Below are 15,491 nucleotides of genomic sequence, written 5' to 3'. Positions count from 1 at the left end.
CCACCCAAGGTGCACTCACAGAGGGGCTGCAGCCAGGACAAAGGAGACCCATGGGCATCCTTTCACCCACTTATTCCACAAGCGCTTGCCCCTCTTATGCGCCAGGGCTGAGCCAGGAACCAGGAGGTTGATGGCTGCCTCCACACCCAGGGTGGAACAGGGGCCTGGAGAGAGGGGTGCAGGTAAGGCGCAGCAGGCCACAGAGGAGAGGCCATCAGTTCTCACTGGGCAGTCAGAACGGCCTAAGAGACAGGCTCTCCCTTGGGTTCAAATCCTTCCCCTCTTCCCCTCCCCCGCTGCCTCCTGGATGTGAGTGGCCTCAGGCAGGGAAGGTGACCATCTTTCCGCCATCTTATTATCTTTAGTGTGGGAAGAAACTTCTCCTGTCTCTCATGGACGCCTAGGCACAGTAAGTGTGACATTTACCATGAGAACAGTTAGGATTCTCACTAGGTGGAAGGTAAGGGAAACCATGGTGTATCTTTAAGTAGGAATCAAGAGACACAGTGGGGCCTCCATGGCCACAAGGGCCCACTGCTTGCTTGAGGCTGAGGCTGTGGGTCCCCGCAAGGTGCGGCCCCTCCACCTAGGACATGGGAGGCCCTGTCAGAGCAGAAACCACCTGCGTCATGGTTCCAGGGAAGAAGCTGGATGGTGGACCTAGGTGGCACACACCTGTGGTCCCAGCTACTCTGGAAGGCAGGAGGATCGCTTGAGTCCAAGAGTTGAAGGCTGCAGTGAGCTATGATTGTACCTCTGCACTCCAGCCTGGGAGACAGAGCGAGACTGTGGCTCAAAAAGAAAGAAAAGAAACTTGGTTGAAAATGTGAAGAAAGAGGTTGGGGAGAGGATGTGTGAAGCTTCCCAGGAAGGCTTCAATCTGAGTTTAGCCTTCATGGGAATAACATTTTAAATAAACAGTCCAACTGTTCATTTAGGAAATGCTGGTTGTAGGTCTGAGGACAAGATGGATAAAACCAGCGTTTGTCACACAACATAAACATGTGAAATGCACCTCTGAGGAGCCTAGAAGGAGCCCACCACACGCCTGGTCTGGACAGGACACATAGCCTGGGCACAGGCAGTGCCACCTTTGGCAAAAATGTTTCCAGACATCGCAGGTAATGGTAACACAGTTATGACCTCCACCAGGAATCATTCTCGTGATACTGGGAGCAGCCAACACTTACTGGGGAGGTCTTCCCATGCGTCACCTCCTCCATCTTCCCAGCAACGCGGTGAGGTGTGGATTCCACCTGCCCAGTTCCCGTGAGCCATATCTACTCACCACGGCTTATATGCAATGACTGGATGAAGACACAAGGCAAACATTGTCAACAGCTCTTAGAGTGCATTGGACATTTCACCTGCTTAACCCCATCTGATAAGCACCCAAACAATGAGGCAGGTTTTTTTTTCTTCTCAATTTGCCACTGGAGAAACTTGCCCCCAGAGAGACCAGGGGGCTGGCCTGGGGCCACAGAGCTGAAAGGAGCCTGAACCACCCCCACTGTTGGACTCCAAGCCCTGGACCCTGCCCTCTGGCACCAGCTGGAATCCAAGCAGTCATTAGGCGGGCCCTGCCCACCCTCCATGCTGGTGGCCAAACTGGGAATTCCAGTTGCTGAATTGCAGCTAAGTTGCCTGCAGAGAACTCAAGCTCTCCCTGTCACTCTGCACAGCACCCATTATTTCTGTTTCAGCCACTGTTGGGCATGTCCCCAACAGTTTTTCAATTCTTTGCCTGACAGATACAAGGAGACACCCCAGCCAGAAGGCCTGTCCCATGGCCTCCATAACTGGCCCAAAGAGGACACCAGGATGAGGAGGCGGATAATTAAAACCTGGAGTATAATGACTGCATGAGTCAGGCCTAATTACACTCTGCACCGTGGCTGGTGACTCAGGGGTGCCTATGGGAGGCAGAGCACCAGCTTCTGTAGCCAGCATCTGGCAAAGCGGTCCCGACCCTGGCTCAGACACTGGGTCACTGTATGACCTTGGACAAGTCACTTCATCTCTCTGCACCTCAGTTTCCTCTTCTGCAAGACAGCAGGAGCCATCTGCTTAGATTGTCGGGGGTGGCAGGAAGAGATAAAACAAGTTGGAAGCAGCCCAGGCTAAGCATACAGCAGGTGCTTACTAAGTGTCCCATGGTATGGAGCTGCAGCTGGGCTGCCTCAGTCACTGAGGGTCAAAGGCACCAGTAGAATTTGGAGATGGGGCACACTGTTGAGTTGGTTCACTGGATGCATAAAGCAACATACTCAGCCCCTTGGTTACTGTTATCTGTAATAGCTAAACTAAAAGTCAAATGAAATGTTGGGCCTGGGGTGGGGAGCCTTGAGGCTGGACCAAACTCAGATATGGTCTGTCTGGGCTCAGATCACCAGCCTCAAAGCTATCCACAGAAGGAAAAATTAAGCCAGGGCAGCAGAAAGTACCTCTGAGACCTGTGGGTACCAAGAAGACAGTCCATGTGGAGAAAGGGAAAAACCAACTAACTATGAAACCCAGAGGATGTGGTGTCAAGGAATTGTTCCATTTTACAGATTGGTATCATCAGCTTCCTGTGAAACTTTTACTAAAATAGGTGGTGAGAGTAACTACTTCATGGACAGTATCTTTAATTTTAAATGCTACAGAATGAAAGGGCACGTTTGGGTTGATGCAGGACCCACAGCTCACTATTGAACACTCCCTGATCAGTATATGTGATCCAGCTGCACAGGAGGTTATGCCTGAGGCAACGGCCAGCCTGTCTGACTAGATGAAAGCCACCATGGAGTCTGTTTACCCTGAGAAGGGGACTGCCCAACTCTTCCTATAAATGCCAAGTGGAGCACCCCAGATGAAGCAACTGATATGCTTCATATACAAGCCATGTGGGACTGGCTTTATGATGACCAGGATATTCACCCATAGAATATACCCATTACCCAGGTCATGGTAAATGCTGTGGTTAAGGGGGTCCCTTCTATGTGGGCACCCCAAGTGACATTACTCCTGCAGAATCAAACAACAATTTAAGAAGTTCTCTCAAATTTGTTGTTGTAGAGCTGGGTGTGGTGGATCACACCTGTTATCCCAGCACTTTGGGAGGCCAAGGCGGTTGGATCACTTGAGGTCATGAGTTCAAGACCAGCCTGGGCAACATGGTGAAACCCTGTCTCTACAAAAGATAATTTTTTTTAATGTTGTTGCAGCTTTCTTTCAGATCCTAAGAAAATATGAGGATAATTAAGGTTTAAAAAATGGGAAAGTCAAAAGCATGCCAGGTTTTCTAGTACTCCAGCTGGTTACATATGATGGTCTGTTCTTGTGCAGATTTTAAACTGATAGGCAAATTTCATCAAGAAAAATTCAGAGCACAAAGTTGGACCTGCGACTATAGGTTTCCTAAGTTCTCTGCCTACTGCTCTATTTTCTTTTCTGCCTGCTTTAAATCTGCCATGACCTTTCTACTGGTGTTGAGGTAACAACTAGTTGGCATCTTTTTTTTTTTTTTTTTTGCATACTGGTGAGTTTGTATTGATATCTCATGGCTAGAGTTCTGAAGTAAAAGCTACAGGATCTTTGTATGTGTGTATGTGTATGCTTAGATGTGTTTACTTGTATGTATGTGTGTTATGGCAAGTTACCAAATTGGCTTAAAAATACAAGTACTCATAAATTAAGTAATAAGCCCTAGTGCTTTTCAAGTTAATGCGACTTAAGTAAATCTTTTATAAATAAGCTGGCTTTAAAATTATTAGTAAAATAAAATTAGAGATGTCTTCATAATTATCAGCATACCTTATTGTTTAAGTTTATTGATCAGTTTTATATTTATCTCTGCTAGATATTATAAGGTGTCAAGGTTTGGCATGAAGGTTATAAAACTATAAATCCAGCCTGAAGCCAAATGACCCTTGAATAATTGTTGATAAGTATTTAATATTATTTATTTAATGAAAACAGCTAAATCCTGAGTTATTGGCAAAAATCCCATTTATTTAACCTTAAGTTTCTCATTTAAGTAAACACCTGATATTCACAGGCTATAAAAATGGTTAAAACAGGAAAATAACTTTAAATAATGACCATCCCAGTTTTCATAAGTAATCTAAGTAAACTATTAAAAATAAAAATAATAACTAATTAGGTAAATGTAATAGAATAAATACCTATAAGTAAGCTGGGTGCGGTGGCTCATGCCTACAATCCCAGCACTTTGGGAGGCCCAGGTGGGTGGATCACCTGAGGGCAGGAGTTTGAGACCAGCCTGACCAACATGGTGAAACCCCGTCTCTACTAAAAATGCAAAAAATTAGTCAGGCACGGTGATGCATGCCTGTAATCCAGCTACTTGGGAGACTGAGGCAGGAGAATCGCTTGAACCAGGGAGGAAGAGGTTGCAGTGAGCCAAGAATGTGCCACTGCTCTCCAGCCTGGGCAACAAGGTGAGATTGGGTCTCCAAAAAAAAAAAAAACTTATAAATAAATTTATATATAATTAAGAATCTAAAGTCATATTAAATATTCATTAAAGTTTTTAAAAAATTATATTACAGTAAAACATTTTTCAAAAAAACGTGTTATTAAAAGGAAAATAATTTTTGTTTAATTCAAAGTTTATGAAATGAAGTAAAAATAACTGGTAAAAAAGAGAGATGTAAACAAAGTTATACATATATGCAGGCATTTTTGGCAAGAAAGCTTAAAAGAAAAATAATTTTATATGAGAAAAAAATTTCCTATGATAAATTTTTGTCCTGAAATAAAATGACTGTTTAAGAAAAAGAATGTTGAGGATAACATGGGAGGGCCAGGCATGTCATAAATGGTTTGTGCAAGTCCTAATAAGGTTTATAAAAAGAGAATTTATATATATATGTGTGTTTGTACGTATATATATATATATACATATATATATATAAACTTTATGTGATTAAATTGTCTATAATTAAAAGGAGATTATGTATAATAGTCTTTCTACAGATTAGGCCTTGATATTAAAAATGCACTAATACGGCCTGGCCAATGTGGTGAAACCCCATCTCTACTAAAAATACAAAAATTAGCCGAGTATGGTGGCAGGCCCCTGTAATCCCAGCTACTCAGGAGAATGAGGCAGGAGAACTGCTTGAACCTGGGAGGTGGAGGTTACAGTGAGCTGAGATCCTGCCACTGCACTCCAGCCTGGATGCCAAGAGCAAAACTCTGTCTCAGAAAATTAAAAAATGCACTAATACACTAAAGAATTGGCTAGAACAAAATTCTCTTAAAGTATTTATTCTTAATAAAATTGCAAGAGATTTTAATTTTTAACCCAAAAGTTCAACTTTTATTGCGTGTTGCTCATAAACCAAAAATAAAATTCTAAGCCCCCAAGCTGATGGACCCCCGACCCATAGTCAGTGAAGGGCATTCCAAAGAAACCTGAAAAACTAGCACAGGCCATGATGAAAAGCAGGCTAGACATGCCTCATAATACTCTCCTCCCTTCGGAATTCGAGCACTGCTAACCAGCATTAACATTAAAACAGAGACTTAAGGAGGACAAACAGACTCTTTATAGCAATAAGACACCAAATTCCAACCTGACTCTCGCCTAGCATCACGAGAAATAGCAGGCCCTGGAAGAAACTGAAGTATTTTACCACAAAGTACATTCCTTTGACATACTTTGAAATGGCCCTAAAAAGCTGTCTCTGGTGGAGAAAATCTGCATCCTGCAGAGAATCCCCTTCCTTCCCAGATCTTTTCCCTGATCCAGGAGAGAATTAGCTAACAGTCTGGCACCTTTTCATGTCTGATCAGAGCTCTGGAGCCTGCTACCTGGAGGCTTCATCTGCACCATAAAAACACCTTGGTCTCCACAATCCCTTAGCTTAACACAGACACTCCTTTCTATTGATTCTAGATCTTTAAGTCATAATCCTAACTGTTTAAACCAATTGCCAATCAGAAAATCTCTGAATCCATCTAGGATCTGGAAGCCCCCACTTCCAGTGCTCCTGCCTTTCCAGACTGAACCAATGTATACCTTCTATGTACTGACTGACATCTGCCTGTAACTTCAGTTTCCCCTGTGAAAGGAAATTAAATCTGGGGACCCCCAAGTTCACTTAGCTAAAAGGAAGAGTCAAGCTGGGAACTGGGTCACGCAAACCTGCCTCCATCTTTTGGTTCCTGAATCAGATGGCTACAGGATGAAAAGCTACCAGCCTCCCCCATATTTTGCCCACAAGTAAATTCCTAGTGAGCTGTTAAAACTTCATGATGGCAATGCAAATTGATAGCTTATCTTTACGGGTGTAGTCACACTGGCCCCCCCACCCCACCGCCAGACCAAATGCATGTCTGATTGCTCCCCTACCCCATTTTGTCGGTGTTCTCTTATGTAAAATGCAGGTTCCCCACATTTTTCCTTCGCCCCTTTTTTAATGTGAAAACTGAGCTTCTCAATATCCCACCCTTTCTCCTTTAAATTTGGAGCCCTCAAAATCATCTTCAGAGAAAGGCGTAGACCTGTCTCCCAGGCAGATCCTTAATGTTGGCAAATAAATCTCCTAAAATGATTGAAACTTGTCTCGTCATTTTCTTCGATTGACACCCTAAAATGCATAAAATCAGACTGTAACCCAGTCACTTCGGGCACTTGTTCTCGGTGCCTCCTGGGGCTGTGCCAGGGGGTCATGATCCTCACATTTGGTTCACAATAAATCTCTTTAAATATTTTAGAGTTTGACTCTTCGTCGACATGCTATTTTTAGCTTTCTCTCCCATTTGAGAAGGTCTGAGATAATCTCTCCCCTTCAACTTTTTTCTCAACTCCTCTCACTTTTTTACTCGGATTCTAACTATTGTTGTGATCTGATGCTAAAGATGTTTTATCTTAAAGGTCTAAAGGGAATTTTCTTTTTTTTTTTTTTTTTTTTTTTTTGAGACAAAGTCTCACTGTTACCAGGCTGGAGTGCAGTGGGGTGATCTTGGCTCACTGCAACCTCCAATACCCTGATTTAAGCGATTCTCCTGCCTCAGCCTCCCAAGTAGCTGGGATTACAGGCATGCGCCATCACGCCCAGCTAATTTTTGTATTGTTAGTAGAGACGGGTTTCACCATGTTGGCCAGGATGGTCTCGATCTCCTGACCTTGTGATCCAATCCGTCCTCCTCAGCCTCCCGAAGTGCTGGGATTACAGGTGTGAGCCACAGTGCCCGGCCCTAAAGGGTATTTTCTTCTACTATAACATTCTGTACTCTTTGCTGTTCCTGTCTAAATCATTCTATGAAACCCAACACCTTCTCTTATGAACCAGGAGACACTCTTCCTGTGTCTAATTAATTCAAGTACCGTTTTCAGTTTTGACTTGCAAGGCCAACTAACTGGATTTCCCATAGGGAAAAAAATCACACTGCAGAAGGTGGGGTTTTTGTTTTGGCTTCTGGTAACTGGCCTAACAAACATATTTTATGTTTTGGGGTTTGTTTCTCTGTCGCCCAGGCTGGAGTGCAGTGCTGCAATCATGACCCACTGCAACCTCCACCTCCCAGGTTCAAATGATCCTCCCACCTCAGCCTCCCAAGTAGCTGGCATGACAGGCACATGCCACAACACCCAGCTAATTTTTGTATTTTTTGTAGATGTGGGGTTTTGACATATTGGCCAGGCTGGTCTCAAACTCCTGGGCTCAAGTGATCTGCCCGCCTTGGCTTCCCAAAGCGCTGGGATTACAGGCATGAGCTACCGCACCTGGCCATATTTCATGTTTTATTGAAATAATTCCTATGTCATCATTATTAAGTTTTTTATTTGCTTACTAAAACTGAGATTTAAAAAAAAATTATTATGTCCATGTAACTTTCTGTATTGCTTATTTATTTTGAGACAGAGTTTCACTCTTGTTGCCCAGGCTGGAGTGCAATGGCCAATCCTGGCTCACTGCAACTTCCACCTCCCGGGTTCAAGCAATTCTGCTGCCTCAGCTTCCCACGTAGCTGGGATTGCAGACACGTGCCACCACACCTGGCTAATTTTGTATTTTTAGTAGAGATGGGGTTTCACTATGCTGGTCAGGCCGGTCTTGAACTCCTGACCTCAGGTGATCCACCCACCTCGGCCTCCCAAAATGCTGGGATTACAGGCATGAGCCACCAAGCCTGGCCTTGTATTGCTTTTAAAGTCCTCGTGCTGTTAAGTTACAAGGATTTGATGGCTGGGTCCAAAAGGACACCAAGACCGCTAAACCTTAAACACTGACAGCAGTTAAAGTCTCATCTTCAGACCCAGGAGAAGATGATAATCAAAATAAGCTGCATTTATGAGAAGCAGGGCCAGAAATTAAAACCATTCAACCTCTCAAGGCCAAGGGACTATCATGGAAGAGGTGGACGCGTGAGATTGTAAAGACAAATTTTGAGAGATAAAGTTTAGTTCAGAGTTTCTCTACAAATTAAACATTAACATCAAACGCACACTGATATAAGACCAGTATCTGGGCCTCTGTGTCAGATTAACAAGGTTTCTGGGAGCATTAACCCACTCTTTAATAATAATAATAATAATAATAATAATAATTGTATAAATACTGGGGATTAGTTTTTTAAAATAAATTTAAAAAGTAAAAAAATTATAAAAGATTATAAAAAGGTTTATGGAAGGCCAGGTGCGGTGGCTCACGCCTGTAATCCCAGCACTCTGGGAGGCTGAGGCAGGTGGATCACGAGGTCAGGAGATCAAGACCACAGTAAAACCCCGTCTCTACTAAAAATACAAAAAATTAGCTGGGCATGGTGGCGGGCGCCTGTAGTCCCAGCTACTTGGGAGGCTGAGGCAGAATGGCGTGAACCTGGGAGGTGGAGCTTGCAGTGAGCTGAGATCGCGCCACTGCACTCCAGCCTGGATGACAGAGCAAGACTCCATCTCAAAAAAAAAAAGGTTTATAGAAACTGTATCTTATGGTGAAAATAAATAAAACATTTGTTTATTTGATTAAATTTGGCAGGATAAGTGATATATTCATATAGAGGTAAAATTTGTCTTTCTCTCTTCTGAAACAGATTTCTGTTCAACTATCCTTTGAGAAAACTAAACAAACAAACAAACAAACAAAGGAGAGGGCGTGGGGGGACCAGGAGAGAAAGAGAGAGACAAATTTAATTGACTTCATGCTGTCTTCATGAGGTTGTATTGTTTGGGAAAGTAAGCCTCCTCTCAAAGAGTAAAAGTTTTTGCCTTTTTAAAAAAAAAAAAAAAAGTTTGAGTCAGCACTATATCTAAATAAATGAATGATACAATGACCTGTGACCCTGTTTTGTGATATCAAGAGTTTTAAACCTTTGCTGTTTGACAAGCTTTCCAGAATTAAATGATTAATTCAGTCTTTTTGACCTCATTAATTATTTTGATATTAGGTCCTGAAGTTCAAAAGAAACATATTCAGCTGATTTGGTATGTTAAAATCACACAGGAAGCATTGTTGAATATGAAATGGTATTTAACTTTCTTTGGATTATATATATATATATGTGTGTGTGTGTGTTATTAGTATGTGTTCCTAAATTGTACCAGATTCCTGTGATTCTGGTATATCTCAATATATGTTATCAGTAGCAATTATGATTATTACGTTAAATTGTTGTATGCCACAGAAATAACCAAATTTCCTTGTCAATTATGTCTTTAACTACGGCTGTTCTAACACTTTTGACATCCACAATTGTTTCACTTTAATCCTTTCAATAGCATGGTTTATAATCAGCTATAGAATTCTGAGAAGTACTCTGATAACTTTAAAGATTGTGCCATTGGAATAAAGATAAAAACTTCCAGGGTTCTCATAAAGAGCTGATGTATTCGTGAGGTTTCCTGACCCAATACCAAGCAGAACAGGAGTTAATTGCATGGACTGAACTAACAGTAGATTGAAATAATCTTTTTTTTTTTGAAATGGAGTCTCACTCTTTTGCCCAGGCTGGAGGGCAGTGGTGTGGTCTTGGCTCACTGCAACCTCTGCCTCCCAGGTTCAAGCAGTTCCGCCTCAGCCTCTCGAGTAGCTGAGATTACAGGCGTGTGTCACCACACACCCAGCTAATTTTTGTATTTTTAGTAGAGACAGGGTTTCACTATGTTGGCCAGGCTTGTCTTGAACTCCTGACCTTATGATCTGCCTGCCTCAGCCTCCCAAAGTGCTGGAATTACAGGCATGAGCCACCATGCCTGGCCTGAAATAATCTTTTATTTATTTATTTTTTACACTAAATATCGCTCTGTCACCCAGGCATGAGTTCAGTGGCACAGTGGCTCACTGCAACCTCCTGGGTTCAAGTGATTCTTCTGCCTCAGCCTCGCAAGTAGCTGGGATTAAAGGCACCTGCTACCACACCCAGCTAATTTTTTTTTTTTTTTTTTGTATTCTTAGTAGAGATGGGGTTTCACCACGTTGGTCAGGCTGTTCTGGAACTCTCAACCTCAGGTGATCCACCTGCCTCGGCCTCTCAAAGTGCTTGGATTACAGATGTGAGCCACTGTGCCTGGCCTGAAATAATCTTTTATGACTCTTTAAAACATTTGATTATTTTTGTTTTGTTTTTCTTCTTTTAAGATATTTACACTCTTAAACAATTAAGGTAAATTTTTATGAGCAAAATTTAAAACCTAATTCCTTTCTCTCTACTTAATTTCTCCGAAATTTGAAAACTATCTGTCGGTATTCTTAATCTATGGCAATATAGTTATTTACATAGGTTCAACCAGAATTTGTTCTATCTTATAGCAGGACACAATTGGAGACACTGGGTATTTTACCAAGGCTTTGCTTAGAATGACATCTTCAGATTGCCTTGAGAAAATGAAGCTGACCTATAGAGCCAATAAAAGCCCCTTGAAAAACTGGCCTCATACCTTGTCCTTTACAGGGTTCTGACCTGTGGCGGGTGAGAATGTCACTTTCTGACAGGCCCAGGATCGTTTTCTTGGGACCTCGAAAAGAGAGGAAGTCACCCAATTCATACAGGTATCTGCAGGCACAGATAAATCCTTGGCTGGGCTCAAGCCTTTTGGAAAGGTCTAATCTTAGATTCCTTATGAAAAAGTTTCCAGCCAAGCAAAAATTTTTTAAAGCCTATACGGCAGATAATTCTTGCTGCACTTTATGCAAATAATCAAGCTAACTATCATTAAACTAAAACGTAATTTTACAAATAAATTGGTCCTACTATGATTTTGTCTCTAACAAAATTGGGGAATTGGAAAGAGAAAAATTATGTCTCAAGAAAAACTATAATAGACTTGTTATTAGATTGTAGCCTTGTCCAGGATTTTTCAATTTTTATTATTTTTTACAATTTGGACTGAATCCTACAATTTTTCCTGGCTACAAGTCTCCAGAATAATATTTTCAATTTTTTTCTTTCTTTTCATTGTTTTCCCTTCCATCTTCTCCTGATTTAGAATCACAAAAAAATTAAAGCGGTGCCTTTAAGCCCTGTGAGCTGAAGCTAGACAAACCTTGAAAGACAATAACAGCAACCTATTGATATATTAAGACCTAAGCTACTTTCATCCCTGCATACTGACTGACGTATGGACTTCAGAGGCATATGGCCTATGTCAGTTTTCCAGGATTGTTTTCCTTTTTGTTGTTATTCCTCCCATTGTTTTTCTCTTTTCCTCCCCTATTTTTCTCTGTGAGACTCGAGACTACATAACTTACTAAAAGTCAGCTTTCCTAACCACCTGGGACCTAAGCCATCTCAGAATAAACCATCCTAGCCACGAGAGACATCAGACAAAACCCAAGACCAGAGACTCAGTTTTCTTCTAAGATGCTTTCTTTGAAAGATTTTTTTTAATGGGGGTGGGAGGAGAAAAGTGAAAGGAAAATAAAATCTTGAGCACAATTCACTATGTCAACTGGAAGAACATTAGTCTGAAAGCCCCACTGTGCAAGAAGCTGCCTTTCCTCTTGTTCCTAAGCAGATAGAGAGCTACAGATAAAAAGTTATTTGCACAGATAGCAACTCTATGAGCACAAGACAAATACCTAATTGACTATTTCCATACCTGCTCCCTTTCTCTTGCAACATAAGGATTCACTAATGCAACCACACCCTCCCTTTTTCCCCTCCAGCCTGCTTCTCCCTTTTAAATATTGAGGCCCTCAAAATCATTTTTGGAGAATGGCACAGACCACCCACCGTTTTTGTCAATCTGTGTTCTTTTCTTCTGAGCAGGTCCTTAACCCTGGCAAAATAAACTTCTAAACTGATTGAGACTTGTCTCAGATACTTCTTGGTTTACAAGGATGATAGCAACAATGGTGAGGGTGGCGGTGCTGATAATGGCGGTGATGCTGGTAGTGCTGATGGTGGTCATGAAGGTGCTGCTGGTGGTGATGATGATATGCAATAATAACGAGGGTGATATTCACATTTAATTGTCCTCACCGTGTCCCAAGCCCCATGCTAGGAGCTTTTTTTTTTTTTTTTTTTTTTTTGAGACAGAGTCTCACTCTGTCGCCCAGGCTGGAGTGCAGTGGTGCAATCTCAGCTCACTGCAAGCTACGCCTCCCAGATTCAAGCAATTCTCCTGCCTTAGCCTCCCAAGTAGCTGGGATTACAGGTGCCTGCCCCCATCCCTGGCTAATTTTTGTATTTTTAGGAGAGACAGGGTTTCGTCATGTTGGCCAAGCTGGTCTCGAACTCCTGACCTCGTGATCCGCCAGCTTCAGCCTCCCAAAGTGCTGGGATTACAGGCGTGAGCCACCGCACCCAGCCTAGGCACTTTCCTGTGTTACCCCATGCAGTCCTCTCGCCAAGCCTATGCAGTAGATATTGTTACTCCCTCTATTTTTGGAGAGAGGAAACCACTACCCAGGGAGGATGAAAACCTCACCCAAGGCCCTGCCTGTGGCCAGTGGTGGAACTGAGAGACACAGCTGTTTACCTCCACGGGCTGTTGCAAGAACGCCTGAGATTAGGTGGGAAAGAGGCTGTGTGAAACGCCAAGCCCAGAGGCCTTCCCTGAGGACGGTCCCAGAGAAGGGGAGGAGGGTGAGAGCAGGAGGCCCCAGGAGGGGTTCAGACGCTTCCAGCAAACAGAGCAGAAAAGCTGGTTCTTTCACACCCAACAGACTGACTCAAAGGTCAGAGCAAGATTTGATTCAATGTCTTAACATCCATCATGCATCACTCAATAAACATTTACTGAGAGCCCCACACAGAGTGGTGAGTCTTAGGGAAATCTTCCCGGCTGTGCCAGCGAGCCAGGCTGGCTGCAGAGTCCTGGGCTCAGTGGGCCCCTCTTCGCCCCCAGACAGCTCCTCCCCCGGCAGCCCAGCCTCTTCCCAGGGGGAGCTCACTCACCTCCAGCCTCAAACCTGAGAGAAGCCCGGGCCCGGTGGAGAAGCGATTGTACTTACCTCTCTCCAGCTCCATGCACAGTACCCCGCATTGGTAACTGGAGATGGGCTGCAGTGGAAGTATTCACACTGTGGAACCGACAAACATTTCCAACCAAGGCTCCTGTCCTGCGGGGCTGGTTGTTCAACATCTACCAGCACAACACTGTCCAGGCCCCAACCCTCCCCCTAGCTGTGGCCTCTGCAAGGCCAAGTCTGGGGACCCTGAGGCATGGAGGAGGGGTGTACGAATGGCCTGCCTTAAGCTGCTGACAGTGTTGAGGCCCCACACGGCCCTGCAGCCAGCAGGCCAGTAGGAAGGACAAGACCCCAAACCAGATCCGTTTCCAGAGTTAAGGCTTTGCCGTTGATTGTCCTCCATCTGATGCCACAAAGCCAAACCCAGGCCAGGACGGATGCCTGTCCATGGGAGCGAGGGAGGGAGGCTACCTCTCAGCCCCTAGCACAGACAGAAACTAAGCATCTACCAAGCACGGCTCAGGTGCCATCTATTCAGATGGTGGGGCGGGGTGCCGAGGCTCAGAGAGAGTGAAAGGGTGAAAGGGTTTGTGGAGGGCCTGCCTGAATAACTCCAGCCTGTCTGACACTTGTGCCCTCGGAGAGACTCCCTAGATAAGGCTAGAGATGACCTCACCTCCTCAAATACAATGCAATGGCACCTGGTCCACTCTTGACCTCTGGGCTTGTTTAATCATGGGCCTCCCCCTTTAGAGGCAGGGGTAAGGGCTTGAACTTTGTGGTCTCTGCTAGACTCTGAGCCTTTCCAGAGACTGCACATAGTAGGTGCTCAACAAATAATTGTGGAATGAAAGAATAGTTGAAAAAGCCTAGTTCTCACAGCTGGATTATGACGATGGTATCAGTCAGGGTTCAATCAGAGGAGCAGAGCCAGTGGGAGGTTTATCACAAGGGATTTATTGCAAGGAATTGGCTTAGAGGATCACGGAGCCAGTTAGGCGAGTCTGAGGTCTATAGGGCAGGTCATCAGCGGGGCTGGCTGGAAGTTCAGATGGGCTGCAGCTGCTGCCCCCAGGATTGATTCCACTCTTAGGCCTTTCAACTGGCCGGATCAAGCCCACCCGGGTGATCTAGGACAATTTCCTTTAAAGGCAGCTGATTGTGGACTTTAATCACACCCACAGCTGATTATGGACTTTAATCACACCCACAAATACCTTCGGAGCAACACCTGGATTCATGTTCGACTGGATACCTGGGCTCATCGCCTGACCAAGCTGACAGCTAAGACCGACCCTCCCAATGCCCATCAGAGTGAGCTGAAGGCACAGCTCGTCAGCATCACCACTGCCCCTCACTGGGTGCCTGTTTGCCTGCCTGTCTCCTCTCGGGCTCCTTGAGGCTGGGGTCTGTGACTTGGTCTTCCCTCGATCCCAGGAAGTGAGCAGGTGCAAGGGAAATTTGCTGCCCCAAAACATGCAGGATGGTGACTGCCTCGCCCACAGCCCTGCTGCGGGAAGCTACAGCCTGGGAGAGACAGATTGCGGGTCTCTAATTTGGGTGATCCTGTGGTCGGTCGGCACCCCTTCCTGCTGAGGCTGAACCAGCATTTCCAGGGGCCCTGCCATCCACGCCACCAGAGATCTCCCTAAACTACATCAGTTTCTCTTTCCTCTCTTCCCACCCAAACTCACCTGTCCAGGATCTCGTCCCTGAGGCCTGGCTCTCTGCCGGTCAATGAGGGGCACAATGTACACCTTCACGGAGAGCTTCAAGGCCTGATCCATGGCATGAGGTGTGCAGCGTGCTCCCGACTTGGAGCCAGAAGACCCAGCTTTGGGCAGGCTCTGCAACCTGGGTGAGCCCTCACCCTCACTGAGCCTCAGTGTCCCTGTCTGCAAAATGGGGGAAGCAGCACATTCCCTCGGCACAGCCCGACTCTGGAACAACAAACGTATGCCAAGATGCCAAAGATTCTCACCCTCCCCTGCGGCTCGGTGCTGGCCAGGGAAATGGGGGCCGAGCTGTGGCCAGTGAGGGCTGGGCCTGGCTCCACACTCAGGATGATTGAATTCTGCATGGTGGCTCTGGCCGGGCTTCCCGGACAAGCCTGGGTGAGTCAGGAAC

General features: G+C 44.7%; 1 annotated feature.

The window, feature by feature from the left end:
• Nucleotides 13,355-14,069: an enhancer, noted in NCBI's record as "H3K27ac-H3K4me1 hESC enhancer chr4:8561698-8562412 (GRCh37/hg19 assembly coordinates)". NCBI's record gives its function as "activates a minimal SCP1, AML or CMV promoter by ChIP-STARR-seq in naive H9 embryonic stem cells {active_cell/tissue: H9 hESC(naive)}" and the evidence as "EXISTENCE:reporter gene assay evidence [ECO:0000049][PMID:30033119]".

This window comes from Homo sapiens, chromosome 4 (assembly GCF_000001405.40).
Source record: "Homo sapiens chromosome 4, GRCh38.p14 Primary Assembly".
Taxonomy (NCBI): Eukaryota; Metazoa; Chordata; class Mammalia; order Primates; family Hominidae; genus Homo; species Homo sapiens.
This window is presented reverse-complemented; position numbering and strand designations above follow the sequence as displayed.